The sequence below is a fragment of the Homo sapiens genome, chromosome 10 (assembly GCF_000001405.40).
Source record: "Homo sapiens chromosome 10, GRCh38.p14 Primary Assembly".
Classification (NCBI taxonomy): domain Eukaryota; kingdom Metazoa; phylum Chordata; class Mammalia; order Primates; family Hominidae; genus Homo; species Homo sapiens.
The window spans coordinates 3,745,842-3,760,034 of record NC_000010.11 but is presented as its reverse complement, the minus strand read 5'-3'; the positions used below and the strand labels follow the sequence as shown (position 1 = coordinate 3,760,034).

Below are 14,193 nucleotides of genomic sequence, written 5' to 3'. Positions count from 1 at the left end.
TGACTCTGCTGTCCTTAAACCACGGACCTCCCACTTTCCCTTTTGGCCCTCAAAGTCACTTGGTCCTGACTCCATCCCTTCGGATTCTGCTAAGGATTTTTTCCTGCAGAGCCTCAAAATCGCACAGAACAGACACCCTTGGACTCACCTCTCAGAGCCTCCTTCTTAAGAGATGGGCTGCGTCCCTGAGCCGCTCTTGTGGAAATCTCCTTTTATCCCATGGTTAGAGGAGACAGAGAAGGTTCTCTGGGCACAACTGGTCCTTCCAGGTGGAGACCAAAAATCTGTTTTGTTAAATCAACTTTCTCAGCACTCTTCCCTCCCTCTTCTTCCCTGTCCTTCCTTTTTCTTCCTTTCCTGACTTCCTCTCCCTCCTTCTGCTCTCCATGCTTTGCTTTCGTCTTTTACTTCATTTCTCTCCCTCCTACCCTCCCTCTCTTTCCTCCTTTCCTGTTCTCCTTCCTTCCCCTCTCTTTCCTTCCTTCCTTCACTTTTTGCCTTCCTTCCTTTTGCTTCCTTTCTCTCCCTCCCTCTTTCCTCCTTTCCTGTTTTCCTTCCTTTTTCTCTGTCTTCCTCCCTCCCCTTCTCCCTCCCTCCCTAGTAGCATGTGCGTGGTTGACAGATTGCCTGGACTTGAATCTCAATACCGTCACTTACTACATGCATGCGCTTGGGCAGTTTGCTGAAGAGCGTATGTCTCTCTTTCTTCATCTGTAAAATGGGTTAATAATTGTACTTACCTCATACAAGAGAAGGACTTAGCAGAATGCGTGGTCCAAGAGAAGCTCTCCACAGGTGGTGGCTATTATTATTAGCTTTTTATTCAGCCCCATCCTGGGCATATATCTCTCTGCAAGGTGTGAGATGAACACAGTGGTTTCAAACTTTGTTTGTTTGTTTGTTTGAGACACAGAGTCTCACGCTGTAGCCCAGGCTGGAGTGCAGTGGCGCGATCTTGGCTCACTGCAGCCTCCGCCTCCCAGGTTCAAGTGATTCTCCTGCCTCAGCCTCCCAAGTAGCTGGGATTACAGGCACGTGCCGCCACATTCAGCAAATTTTTGTATTTTTAGCAGAGAGGGGGTTTCACCATGTTGGCCAGAGTGGTCTCAAACTCCTGACCTCAAGTGATTGGCCTGCCTTGGCCTCCCAAAGTGCCGGGATGACAGGTGTGAGCCATCGCACCTGGCCAAGATGAACGCAGTGGGATGATGGCCTGGCCCTGCCCCCTGGTGAATGATCTGGGAGGTGTGAGCAGGCATCCTCCATCCCACCTCTAATCCCAGCGTCACTCCATCAGGAGGCAGGGCACTCTGTCATCAGAGGACAATCCCAAAGTCTCTGTGAAGGAGGAGGCAGAGGAAAGGGAGCCTTGCCAGGCGCAGAAGTGTTCTGTTCCTTTGAAGGTGTGTTGATTTGGGTGGGAGAGGGCAGGGAGCAGTGTTCCCCATAGGCTGTGCCTGAGTGTCGGCACAGGTGTTCCTCAGAGAGTGAGACCAGTTTTGACTGGAGAAGAAAGTTTGCTGGGACAGAGTGGGACAGGATGCAGTGAGACCTGACCCATCAAGGTCCCTGGGCCCATACTTGGGGAGATTTTCAGCCACCCGGGGATTTCCTTTCTTTATCTGCAAAATGATGTCTGGTGACACTGAGCTCTTTGCTGCCGGTGGCATGTTAGCCTTTTCCTGATAGAAATGCTGGGATTGGGGAGGGCTCTCGGTGTTTCTGAGTTGGAGGAAAAGACTGACAAAATAGGTATTTTAGACACGTGTCCATCTGTGGTATACAAGGTACACACAGGGAAAGAAAGAAAATAGGCACTTACTTCACTTATGAAACCTGTGAAAATCCCCTGAAGGGAGGTGTGATTAGTCACAGCTTGCACATAGAGAAAACAAGTTGCAGAGAAGTAAAGAGATGGGGCTGAGGCCACCGGCTTGCAAGGGACCCTGCCTGCAGCTTCCAGAGCCCAGCGGCTGGGCCATGCGGAGAGGAACGGACTGGCTGGGACCTGGCATGGGTCCAGTCCTGCCACCACTTTGCTCCTGGACAGGGTCATCTGTGCCTCTTTTCATCCGGTGATTATTGCACTTATCTAATAAATAAAAATTACATGAGACGCTATAAATAGAAGTTCTGGACATGGTAGGACCGCATAGGCATCAGCTATGATTTAAACCACATGGCAACAGCATGGCCTCTAGGAAGAGGGAGGCAGCGGGGAGGCTGTTCTGGTGCGAGATGAGCTCTGAGCAAGGCCCAGACAGGTTGCTGGTTAAGGCAGGAAAGGTGAGTCATCTTGTTCTCTAAGATTCCGAGAAGATGTCCTTAGGGTGATTTTTACAATGTTTCTTTGAATCACCTTTTTCTGCTAATGATGACAAATTACACTTTTAGAGATAATTTGAGTGTATTCCCTTCACTTAGTAATGTAATTTGTTGTTTTCAGGGCAAATAAGATTCGACGATGCAGGAATCTCTGGGACTTTGCTCCTAGGACTGCCCGGGAATCTTGACCCATCGCTAAGTAAGATGGTGTTTATAAACACAGGTGAGTTTCCTGTTTGTAGGGTTGTCTCGGCAAGACGTGGTTCCATGAGGACCAGTTTGCCCAGGTGCAGATCTGTGGTTTACACACATAAGTGACATCTGTAGGACCATGATGTCGCTCAGAAGCACTGTAGTGATGGCTGAAATTAAGCAGCCACAGGGAGACCTTTAGCTACTTAAAGAAGTCCAAATAACAGAAGAGAGACTGGTGTTGACCTTAGGTGACAAGGCCAAGAGAACTGAGCCAGTATCTCTGCAGCACAAGCCAGCAAGGCCACAGAGAAGAGGAGTCTCTGTTGACACCACTGCTGCTATTGTTCTTTTCCCTGAAAAACACAGTGTTCTCTGTTCTTCATCTCCCTTTACTTATTTATTGGATTTTCTACATTATTCCATTTGCTTAAAGTTCCAAAGAGTACACATAAGAACACCATTGATTGAAATAATTAAAACAGATAGCTTCAATAACAGCAAAACTGAACAGCAATGCAGCAGCTGATTTCTCTTTTGCCATTCTCTTGGGGTGTGGGTTTTGAAAAGCCAACTTGACTCCAGAATTTTTCAATATGCTTCGCTGTTGGAAATGGCTATGCCTTAAGGAAGTCAAGACCAGCCTTGTTCTCCTTAGACCAAGAGACCTGAGGAAGCACCTCACTGGCCCTCACCTGTGAAGGGGAATTGGCTTCTCCTCGGACAGTTATGAGAGTTTGCACCCTAGAAGTGAGGTGCATAGCAGCATGCTGGATGTGCTGTTTGCTTTTTTGTAAATAGGTGTTCTTTTGTTCATGCAAGATGTTAGAGAATTCTGTTTTCATTTTTTAGGGGAACCTCTCAAAGGAACAAAAAGCATTTATTCACTCAACCTGGGACTTCAACTTTATGGAAGAAGTAAGAGAAGAAGAGGAAGAAGAGGAAGAAGAAGCGGTGGCGGCGGAGGAGGAAGAGGAGGAGGAGGAAGAGAAGAGGAAGAAGAAGAAGGAGGAGGAGTAGCAGGAGGAGAAGAAGAGGAGGAGGAGGAGGAATGCATTTGTATTCCGTCTGGAAAAGAGCTTTCCCTAGGCAAAGCTAAGACACACAGCTGCAGCCTTGACCGATGACAGCTGTCCATTTCAGGTCCCACTCATAGAAATAATGACCCGGGCACAGGCAGCAATTGTAGCAGACGCTATTCCTTTTTTCTGTGTGTGCATCATTTTCGTTTGGTTTGTTTCTTACTCTTTGGTAGGAATTTCTGCTTGATGCTCCCACAGGACCTCGGTTCAGCTGGATCAGTGGAAAACCTGTACAACTTGTCCCTTTATAAAAACTCCCAGTTACAGTTTTTCTTTGATATTTACTTTGGAATACCTAGAGACTCTTCCCACCCACATCCCCCTTTCCAAAGACAACATGGTCGTGTTGGAAACAAAATTCGGGAGACCAGAGGACTTTGACTGTGGGAAGAAATGTGGTAGTTTAGGAACCTGCGACTCCTTCTTCCCAGCCCTCCAGACCCTCCAAAGAGCTGTTGACAAGAGCCTTAGATGAAGGCCCTGAGCTGTAGCCTAGCGCAATTCTCCTTTGCCTATCTGAAGAGCAGGACAGGCAGGATTAGCGAGGCAAACAAAACCTGAAGGACTTCTTAATAGCCAGACATCTGAGGCCCTTCAGAACCACTTTGAAGATCGGGGGTGATACTGGCTGAGGCTCCAGGTTTATCATTTGATTTGTGACTTTCAGCTCAGGCAGGAGACAGAGAGGAGAGTTCACCAGAGACAAGTCACTTCTGTTGAATGAGTCACCATCGCCACACAGCTGCTTGTTCCAGAGCAGCTATGGTGGGGACATTGTCTAGGATCCCAGGAAAAGTGAAAACATTGACCGGAATGTTTCCAGCACAATGAATGTGATAACAGAGAATGAATAAGTGGAACAGCTCCAACACAGCCAAGAAGATGTTGCTTTATGAGAGCTGACTTTCCCCAGAGCAGTGCGCTCCCATCACAAGGAGGATTAATTCATACATTTCAAGGCCTAAATGACAGACGATAAATGTGTGTAATTATGTAAGTGAGCCCACTGTGTTAGTATGCAAAGGTGCCCACTTTTCCTGCATCAGATATTGACCCTCTTCCATGTCAAAATTCAGAGAGTGACAGCTGCCAATCTCACCCCAGCATCCTCACCTGCTAACCAGGTATCTGTACTCACTCAGCGTGCCTGCTTGGCGAATCTCAGCTGAGTCAGTTACAACAGGTCCCCTTTCAGACAGGTGATGATTAGAAGGTTTGTGACTCAAAGAGCATGACGTGTTCCCTTTCCTCTGCAGCAGGAAGATACTCCCTGATATCGTAGCAGTGACTCAGCCTGCCAAGACAATCCATTTCATTCTTGTACCATTCTTGCATAAATCACAGTGCAGAAAGCTTGGCAAGATAATTTTTAAATTTTAAACTCGACCAGGAGAACTGTTGAGAAATAAGACTTCATATTGAAGTACGTTTCCTCTCCTCGGAAGCTTTCAAGAGGCGATGCTGGGTGAAGGGTTACTCCAAGGTAAATAAATGGTACTGTACTTGGTAGTAAACAGGAGCTGAGTGCTGATTCAGCCAGTCACAGGCCGTTCCTTCCTGAAGAACTCAAAAGCTGTTAGCATGTAAAGTGGGCTCTTCCACAAGGTGACAGATCAATCAAACTCTGTCATCTCCCAAACCTCTTTGAGGCAGGGTTCCATCAACAGATACCATCTTTGTTCACTTTACAGTTTGGGGGGTGAGGAGAAGGGCAGAAAAAGAACTCTCATTGGAAATATTATTTAATGTTTTAAATTAACTCAAAAGATCTTATGTTAATATATTATTTTTGTGAGTTGTTCTGAATTTAGATTCGTTTCCGTGTAATAATTCAGATACAAAGCTAAACATTGCAGAAATGATGGCAAATACTCATTTAAGGTTTATTATGCACAAAACACCAAGATATGTGTTTTGTATTATTTAGTCCTCTTGGAAACTGAAGCAGATACTGTTATTATCACACTAAGACAGGTGAGCAAACTGAGGCCAGGAGAGGCATCCGAGGTTACGCAGAACCCAGCCCACGACACACAGCTGCACTCTTTCCCTGCAAGTGACAAAGTTTAGCTTTATAAGCCAGGATTGCCTTTCTTTTCACTCTGACTAGAGAAAAATAGTTCAAACACAGCCAGAAAAATGTTGCTTTACGAGACCTGACTGACCCCAGAGCAGTGGGCTCCCATTATGGGGAGGACATATATAAGAGCCTAAAATTATAGCTCTAAAATTTATATCATTTTATTATATATTTATCTGAACTTTTTTTATTATTATTTATTTATTTTTGAGATGGAGTCTCACTCTGTCACCCAGGCTCAAGTGCAGTGGTGCTATCTCAGCTCATTGCAACCTCCACCTCCTGGTTCAAGCGATTATCTTGCCTCAGCCTCCCAAGTAGCTGGGATTACAGGCAACCACCACCACGCCTGGTTAATTTTTGTATTTTTAGTAGAGACAGGGTTTCACTATGCTGGCCAGGCTGGTGTTGATCTGTCCTCAGGTGATCTGCCTGCCTTGGTGAACATTTTCTATATATGTAAAATATTGTTATATAATTTACATTTCAGTTCAATATATCAGAGCCATGTCCTTGCTTTGTGTCTTTGCCATTCGAGCTGCTGTAACAATACACATGGCTTAAACAAGTATTCATTTCTCACAGTTCTGGAGGCTGAAAGTCCAAGATCACGATGCTGGCAGAATCGGTGTCTGGTGGGAGCCTGTTTCCTGGCTCGTTGATGGTGCCTTCTCCTTGGGTCCTCACCCGGTGAAAGAGGTGAGGGAGCTCTCTCTGGCCATTTTTTCTAAGGGCCCTAATCCCATCCTTAAGGACTCCATCCTTATGACCTCATCACTTCCCAAAGATGGCATCTCCTAATACTTAAGAGGTCAGGATTTCGACATGAATTTTGAAGGAACACAAATATTCAGTCCATAGCACCTTCCAAAGAGTTAGAGTGTGTGTTCCCAGCCTCAGCCACGTTGACATTCTGACGGAAACAGTTCTTTGTGGTAGGAGACCGTCCTGTACACAGTGTGTTCAACAGCACCCCTGGCCCTCACCCACTAGATGGTAGGTGCATATCTGTCACTTGTGACAAGCAAACTTACCTCCAGGCATTGCCACATGTCCCCTGCTCGGGTGGGATGTGGGAAGCCAAGTCAACCCCAGGAGAGAGCCACTGATGGAGACATTCCAGGGCAATCTTATTCCTGAAGTCCTGTGTCTTAGTTAGAAACGTAAAATACGTGAGTGGCAAACAACCCAAGACTTCCTTGCTGAACAGCAGGAAATCAGCCTCCTGTAGCCCCACTCCTCACCTCCACTTGGCATGACCAACCTCCTCAGTCCTCAGTGGGTTTTCTTCCCTCTTCCCTGGAACTGTGTAAGGATTCCTGATGTCTCCACCAGGCCCTAGCCTGACACCTGCTCCTCACGGCTCAGGACGCTGCCCCTCAAAGGCCTGGCCCAAAATAGGAGCTGATAATCTGGCATGACTTCTTATACTAAGCCTTCCAATTTCTCTCTGGATTAGATTCTTTTCTCCCTCTCCCTGGGATAGGAAACATTCAGAGTTTGACTCTTGATTTGCCCACCACCCCAGGGCTGTGCCCCACATGGCTTCTTTGGGATATTTAGAAGAAAAATCCTCATAAGAAATTGACTGTGAGGGCCGGGCGCAGTGGCTCACACCTATAAATCTCAGAACTTTGGGAGGCCGAGGAAGGCAGATCACTGAAGCTCAGGAGTTCGAGACCAGCCTGTCTGTACTAAAAATACAAATATTGGCTAGGCATGGTGGCACACACCTGTAATCTCAGCTACTTGGGAGGCTGAGGCAGGAGAATCGCTTGAACCTGGGAGGCAGAGGTTGTGGTAAGCCGAGATTGGGCCACTTCACTCCAGCCTGGGTAACAGAGCGAGATTCTGTCTTAAAAAAAAAAAAAGACTGTGATAGGAAATGGTTCTCTCTAGTCCTCAAAATGTTTTTTATGAAATAGATCCCATCACGATGAGACCTGCTGCATTCATGATGTCAGAATCATCATACAAAGGTGCACACTGGTGTATTTAAACTTGGGATATGGCATGCTTGCCTCTGTGCAAACTGTACATGCCGATTTCCACTCTCTAGGGGATCATTCTGAGGCCACCAGGGGCTACTCTGATAACACACAGCCCTGCAGGAAGCAGAGCTCCTCCTGGCCTCCCCAACACCCTTGGGGCAGAACAGGAACTTCTCCAAGCACCTGTCCTCCTTCTACTGCAATTTCTCCTTCACCTTCAGTGATTGTCTTTATATAATGTAGAGCCCAAGTTCAAGGGCTTGTCTCCAGGATGATGCCTTATGACATACAATTTTCTGGGCAAATTTCTACCTCTTTCCCATTAAAACCATGTCTGCATCCACAGTGACACGTTCCTGAGAACACTGCGGACAGAAGGCGCAAATGTCTCATACCTGAACTTAGCCCACGTGTCGCTTCTGTGTTTATTATGTTTTTGTTAGAATTGGTCTGTGTTCATTCTAAGTGTAAAAAGAACGCAAATTAAATAGGATACAAGATATATGACTAAAACCTTTTAAAACTAATATTTATATGAAATAAGACATTCTGTGTTATTTTTAGGTGAGGTGAGAAAAATGTCCTATTATAAGATATATAGTTTCTTATAATGGAAAGAAACATACATATTTCCCATTAAATAACCTCTGACATTATTTTAACATTTTCTACCAAGTTTATTACTGATAAATAGAAGTCAAGAAATAACGCCACTGAGAATATCCTATATTGAAGAATCTTGTTTTATAAAGCATCTTCCCATACAATGATAATCGGTTACTGTAATATCTTTTCAAGCCATACCACTCAGAAATATTTTAAATATTATACAACTTTGTATATATATATATATTATATATATGCATATTTTCTTTAGTCAATGACATGATGCTTTACACAAGTCAAATATTATATTCATAATCTTAGAAAAGATCTCATAAAGAACTTGGTAACTAACTTTGAGTGTATGTGAGACTCTTTCAGGACACTCTTAAGAAATCAAACATTTGGTATTGTGTTCTTTGCTCGAGTACAACTTGATCATACGAGTCTAATCTGTGTTTCCATGTTTCTGCATTTGAATGAAACTAAACTGAAATGCTTGGAACCAGTGCCTTTCCTCTCTGAAGGCTCTGCACTATGGGCCATGTGACTGTTCTCAGATGTTGAAAGAAACCCACCTCCAGGAACTGGACCTCACTTGACCAAGCAAACCACGCGACACCAGCCTATGTGTCCACTCACCCTTGAAAGAATGGAGGGAAAAGCTTCTCCTGCTGGGCTGTGTCCTGCAGCCGGGAATCCTGGCGGGAGGCAGAGGCCTCTGATACGCTTCTGATGGGTGGGTGGGAGGTCCGTGTGTGCGTGCATGCGTGCATGTGTGTGTGAGAGAGACAGGAATGTGCCTTCTTTATCAGAAGCCATTTCCTATGTTCAAATGTGATTTCTCTATTTATCTACAATCTCAACTAGAAGCATAGAAAGAATTCTCACTCATGTTTAGGGGGAAAGAAGTCCAGCTGTGTCTATGAAAGCATTCATATTATCTCTCCCCCACCCCTTCAATATCTTGCCCAAAGCATTAGACATTCACTGTAGGTTTAGGCTAAAAACTTTATTCTATTTAGCTGAGCGTTTCCAATATGTTAATAGGAATATGAGAGAAGCGACACGCTTGAAAACATCACAGTTAATTCCTCCATTGCAAGATACAGTGATTGATTGATAGATGATGGATAGCTAGACATAGGCAGACAGATGGATACAGAAGCATAATAACATAAGTGGAAAATGGTCAGAAGTAGCAAAAGTTAAGGGGAAAATTGCCTTGAATTTCCCCACTGAGCTACCTTTGGCAGTGTCTAGGAGCCCCAGGAAGCGCTCAGCACACATGTATTAATCAAGTATGCCTTAAACATTCAAGCCTGGACACACAAAGCAATTTCAGCTTTTTTGTGAAATAAATATCAGGTATTAAAAACATACTTGGACACAGAACTGTTTTCAGTCCTCGGACAAAGGCCAAATAATCTGAGATGTGCACTGGGAAAAAAAGAAAGGCAGGCTTTCAGTTTCCTTTGGCATGAATCCAATTTGTGCAAAGTGCTGAGCCTCCACATCCTGGGAGAAGCCTCAGCCTAAAGCCCTCCTGGGGCCACGCTGGTTCCCTTCCCTGATGGCTGGACCCGGGTCGTCTCAGGGGCTTCCCAGCTGGGCTGCAGGGTCAGCTGTCAGCCATAAGTGGGCCCTTTGCTTCAATTGTCTCTGATGTCGCTAAGCTGCTGCAGAACCGGAGACAGATACAATGTCAGACTCCGTCTTAAACCCCAAGGACTGTGTCAGGGCCACTGTCATTTCATTCCTGTCTTTCAAATATCTTTACAAATGTAATTAATGGGGAATCAGCTGTCAAATCCATCTTTTAATAATCAAATCTTAGGTGGCAAGATTCGATTTTGCTTTGGGTTTCCTGATGGTTCAGAATGTGTTCCACGCAGCTCCCTCCCTTCTCAGCCAGTTCCCCGACCAGCTCGGGGGAACAACTATTTTTAGATCCAGGCAAGCCCCGGAGTGTCAGACGGTGAATTATTAGCTGTGACTTCAAAAACAGTCACGGAGATACTTTCGAAACCTCTGATTTCTCCATAGCATGTGGACTTGAATTTATATCCTGCCTTTACAGCCCAGATTCCTGTGGTGTAGAGAGAGGCAGGCCGTCAATGCAGCCCACATCTGATGTTCCTGGGCTTATTATTATTATTATTATTATTATTATTTTTTGAGATGGAGTCTTGCTCTGTCTCCCAGGCTGGAGGGTAGTGGTGTGATCTCGGCTCACTGCAACCTCCACCTCCCGGGTTCAAATGATTCTCCTGCCTCAGCCTCCCAAGTAGCTGGGATTACAGGCGCTCGCCCCCACACCCAACTAATTTTTGTACTTTTAGTAGGGACAGGATTTCACCATATTGGTCAGGCTGGTCTTGAACTCCTGACCTCAGCTGATCCACCCACCTTGGCCTCCCAAAGTGCTGAGATGACAGGCGTGAGCCACTGAGCCTGGCCTAGGTCTTATCAAAGCTCTGAAACTACTCCTGGGGTCACACTGGTGATGCACAGTGTCCTTAGATCACGTGCCTGCATTCAGAAGCAGCCCTTGTGCTCTGCACACCCCACTGGGGACCTTCACAGACGCTTCACCTGGCACACACAGCCAAGGACAGGGCAGCACTCAGAGCTACTCCACCAAGCCCGAAACCTACTTGCTCTACCTTTTGCTCTTTCCTTTATATTTTTTTTCATAATGTGGAGGTCAGACGGAGGCAGCATATTAACTCTTAGCACTGACCTGAATGTTCTACTTGAGCAGGTCTAGGAAAGCAAGGTCTGTAAAATGCCTGCTCGCGATTGTTGAGTACGATGTTTCACAAAACTGGAGAATATCAACACAGTGCCATTCCAAACTCCTTATTTTATAGAAAATAAATGGAGGCCTGGAGATGGTAAAGGACTTTCAGCAGGGTTATGACAAAACCATAAACCTGATGATGCCTGAAGTGTCCAGACTTCCAAATTCATGCGGTTTGGAGAATGTTCTGCCTGACAGCAGCAGGGAGTTGTAAGCAGGTTCAGCGTCATCCAGAAATGCTTGTGTCAGACCACCGCTTCCACAGAGGGTTCTGCAGAGATAAAAGTAGACAAGATGGCGAGGAAAAGGTTAAACACTCCCATTCTCTAGGATTGCCTGGCATAATTCTTTGTGCTCATGGATGTCATCGTCAAGATTCGCGACTGTGGGCAGGAATGTGCAGGTGGGGGAGTCAGCACCAATGAATCCTATTAATTCATGCCAGCCAGTCACTTCTGCTTTCAGGAAAAGATTCAGATTTCCCCAGTCTTAGGAACATTAAAAAAAAAAAAAAAAAAAAAGAAAAGAAAAGAAAAAAAAAGAAACAGCTTTTGGTTTTTTTTTTTTTTTTTTTTTTTTGGAGGAAACTGTCTTTCATACTAGATTTAAAAAGGAGGGTGTTTTAGAAGTGACAGATGCAAATATCCCCCACCAGTGTTTGTACAGCTTTGGGCAAGTGACAGGTCAACCTCCAGTTGTTGACAGGGAGAGGTTTTGTGAGCCAAACACCTTTATCATGAAGTATTATCTTGTAAAAATATTTACTAGGGTGTAAGTGCAGAACATTGTGCTTCCAGTGAGGCACACGAATTTTGCAACCGTGATGCAGTCCCACAAAACAATACCCAGGAAAAGGCCTTATTTTTCTCAGCCCTTGCTGTGCACGTTGTTTGTATGGAAGCGTTCCCTGATTGGCTCTGCCTCTTGTTTTGAAGTTCTGTTTTCACGGTTGACCATGCTTCCCGGTCACATAGAATACCTTTTTATTACTGCCCCTGATTTTTGTGTAAAAGAAATTTGAGTTTATGTCATAAAGTGAGTGTCACTCCTAAGAACCAAGCTTGATGAAAATTGTGCTCCTATCTGGCAAACATTCTCATTCCCGTGCATCTTTGGCACGGCCGTCTTCTTCTGTGGTGTTCAGAGTGAAACAGAGTCAACCATCAAACCGGAGGCGTTAGGACGCATTGGAGCTTTCCGGTAGTGATAAAGACACGTGTGGCATGGATGAGTTGCCTTCAGGGGAAGAACAGAGCCACCCTCTGTGTCTTCGGAAAGTTCCAGAATCTGTGTATTTGGGCTTCCCGCATGCACAGTGTGCTCAGGGACTGTGGCTGCAGGTGGTCAGATACCTAGGACCACGGGAGGAGGAAACGGAGCTTCAGGAGCAGTGCCCTCCCCCACTTTTCCTGTAATTCAGAGCCATAAATAGAGCTGGAAATGAAGCCAGGCTCCACATTGCCCAGCACATCATTCTGTGGGGATTACAGCCTCATTCACGCCGGGATTACTGCAGCAGCCTCTGAGCTGCGTCCTGGGCCAACACCGTCCACATTCCGTTCAGCTCGCACACTCGTGCCAGGCTGAGCCTTCCTGGGTGCCGCTTTCATCCCGCCGTCCCCCAGTTTGAGAAACAGAGAACATCGCGTGTGCCGACTTCATCCTGCCTCAGCCCCAGCAGCTTTATGGCGCTCCAGGGTCCCTGGCCGATGTCCTCCACGACCTGCATCCCTCTGTCAGGGACCCTGTTCTCCAGTACCCCTGCTCACCGCATCTAGGTGCACCCATGCCTGGCCACATGCTCCTGCAGACGCCCCCTGATCCTCCACCTCTGTAGACAGGGGCTGGATTCATATCAGTGGTTCCCAAGGAGACTCCACAGACCAGAAGGGAGAGAATCAGCTGTGAATTTTTACTGCAAATATTGCCATGGGTTGGCAAAGCCACCAAAAGTCCCTTCCCAAATTAAACAAAATGGGGATACGCACCACCACCCTCACCCAACACACACAAGTCTCCATTTATTTTAAGTCAAACTCAATGAAGCTGGAAAGGCTCCACATTAGTGGTGTTGCACAGCTGCTAATTCAGCCTCCCCTGGATTGTGGGGCGTGTAGGCTTGCGTGGTGTTCTGTCCAGAGGACACACGGGAATGTGCAAGGTGACCAGAAGCCTCCAGCAGGGCTGTCACCTGGCAGAAAAGTTTGAGGTCTTTGGCTTTGCTGTGTGACGATGAGCCGGAGAGTTTGGCAATGTGTGTAAGAACAGTGTGTTTAGGGTGGGTAGATATATGGGTTTAAGAAATCGATTACTCCAGATTTTATAGCCATAAGTGGACTTAGCGTCTTCATGTTTAAGGTGGAGAAATGAGCTCTAATGGTTAAATGACTTTCTTAAATGTCTTGGCAGCAGAACTGGAGGTGAAACCCGGGGATGTGGCCCCCACGCGGAGTTCCCACTGCACCGAAGTGCTTCTCTGCCTTGTATTGCACTGCAGTGTGAAATTTATACATTTAAAAATGTTTCAGTCTATACCAAAATTAGCCGAGTGCGGTGGCATGTACCTGTAATCCCAGCAAGTCGGGAGGCTGAGGCATGAGAATCTCTTGAACCCGGGAGGCAGAGGTTGCAGTGAGCCAAGATCGTGCCATCTGCACTCCAGCCTGGGCAACAGAGCGAGACTCCATCTCAAAAAAAAAAAAGTTTTTGTCTAGTTGTAAAATATACACTTACTATAAATATTAGACTGTAGGAACAAAGAACAAAGAGGAAGAAAGAAAACAATTCACCATCCAGCATTACACATAGTTACAGATCCTGTCAATTTCTCGTTCGCTCTCTCCTTTTCCTTATGTCTTTACATCAGAACCCTATCTTACATATTGTTTGAAACCTGACTCTTTCTCATAAAATATATGAATATCTTTTCAAATTAATAAACATCGCTATACACAACAACTTTTAAGATTGACCTGGCATGCTACTACCCGGCTGTAATCTCATTTACTGGATCATTTCCACATTGACGCCATCTGGAATACTTCCAATTGCCATTATCATTTTAAGGCAGGTATTTTCCTCATCAATTTTACATTTGTGTTTCCTTCACTTGTGACA

The 14,193-nt window shown here is 45.6% G+C and overlaps 3 long non-coding RNA genes across 3 annotated transcripts in view, besides 2 other annotated features; 2 read left to right on the top strand and 1 right to left on the bottom strand.

Moving 5' to 3' along the window:
* LOC105376361 (uncharacterized) lies at nucleotides 1,985–3,454 on the top strand. Its single transcript, XR_930578.4, has 3 exons — nucleotides 1,985–2,075; nucleotides 2,447–2,548; nucleotides 3,370–3,454. It is a non-coding gene; the product is annotated as an uncharacterized LOC105376361 (long non-coding RNA).
* Nucleotides 1,988–2,207: an enhancer, noted in NCBI's record as "active region_2910". NCBI's record gives its function as "activates an Ori minimal core promoter by ATAC-STARR-seq in GM12878 lymphoblastoid cells {active_cell/tissue: GM12878}" and the evidence as "EXISTENCE:reporter gene assay evidence [ECO:0000049][PMID:35858748]".
* Nucleotides 4,109–5,308: an enhancer, noted in NCBI's record as "CDK7 strongly-dependent group 2 enhancer chr10:3796919-3798118 (GRCh37/hg19 assembly coordinates)". NCBI's record gives its function as "activates an origin of replication core promoter dependent on BRD2, BRD4, P300/CBP, MED14 and CDK7 cofactors, with strong dependence on CDK7, by STARR-seq in HCT116 cells {active_cell/tissue: HCT116}" and the evidence as "EXISTENCE:reporter gene assay evidence [ECO:0000049][PMID:35650434]".
* On the top strand, nucleotides 4,738–8,208 carry LOC124902540 (uncharacterized). Its single transcript, XR_007062364.1, has 3 exons — nucleotides 4,738–5,082; nucleotides 6,265–6,378; nucleotides 8,017–8,208. It is a non-coding gene; the product is annotated as an uncharacterized LOC124902540 (long non-coding RNA).
* A 1,062-nt stretch (nucleotides 8,209–9,270) lies between these two features.
* Nucleotides 9,271–14,193, bottom strand: part of LOC105376360 (uncharacterized) — a 432,070-nt gene continuing 427,147 nt past the window's right edge. Inside the window, exon 2 of the long non-coding RNA NR_131187.1 lies at nucleotides 9,271–11,347. This is a non-coding gene — a long non-coding RNA (uncharacterized LOC105376360). The remainder of the gene's footprint in view (nucleotides 11,348–14,193) is intronic.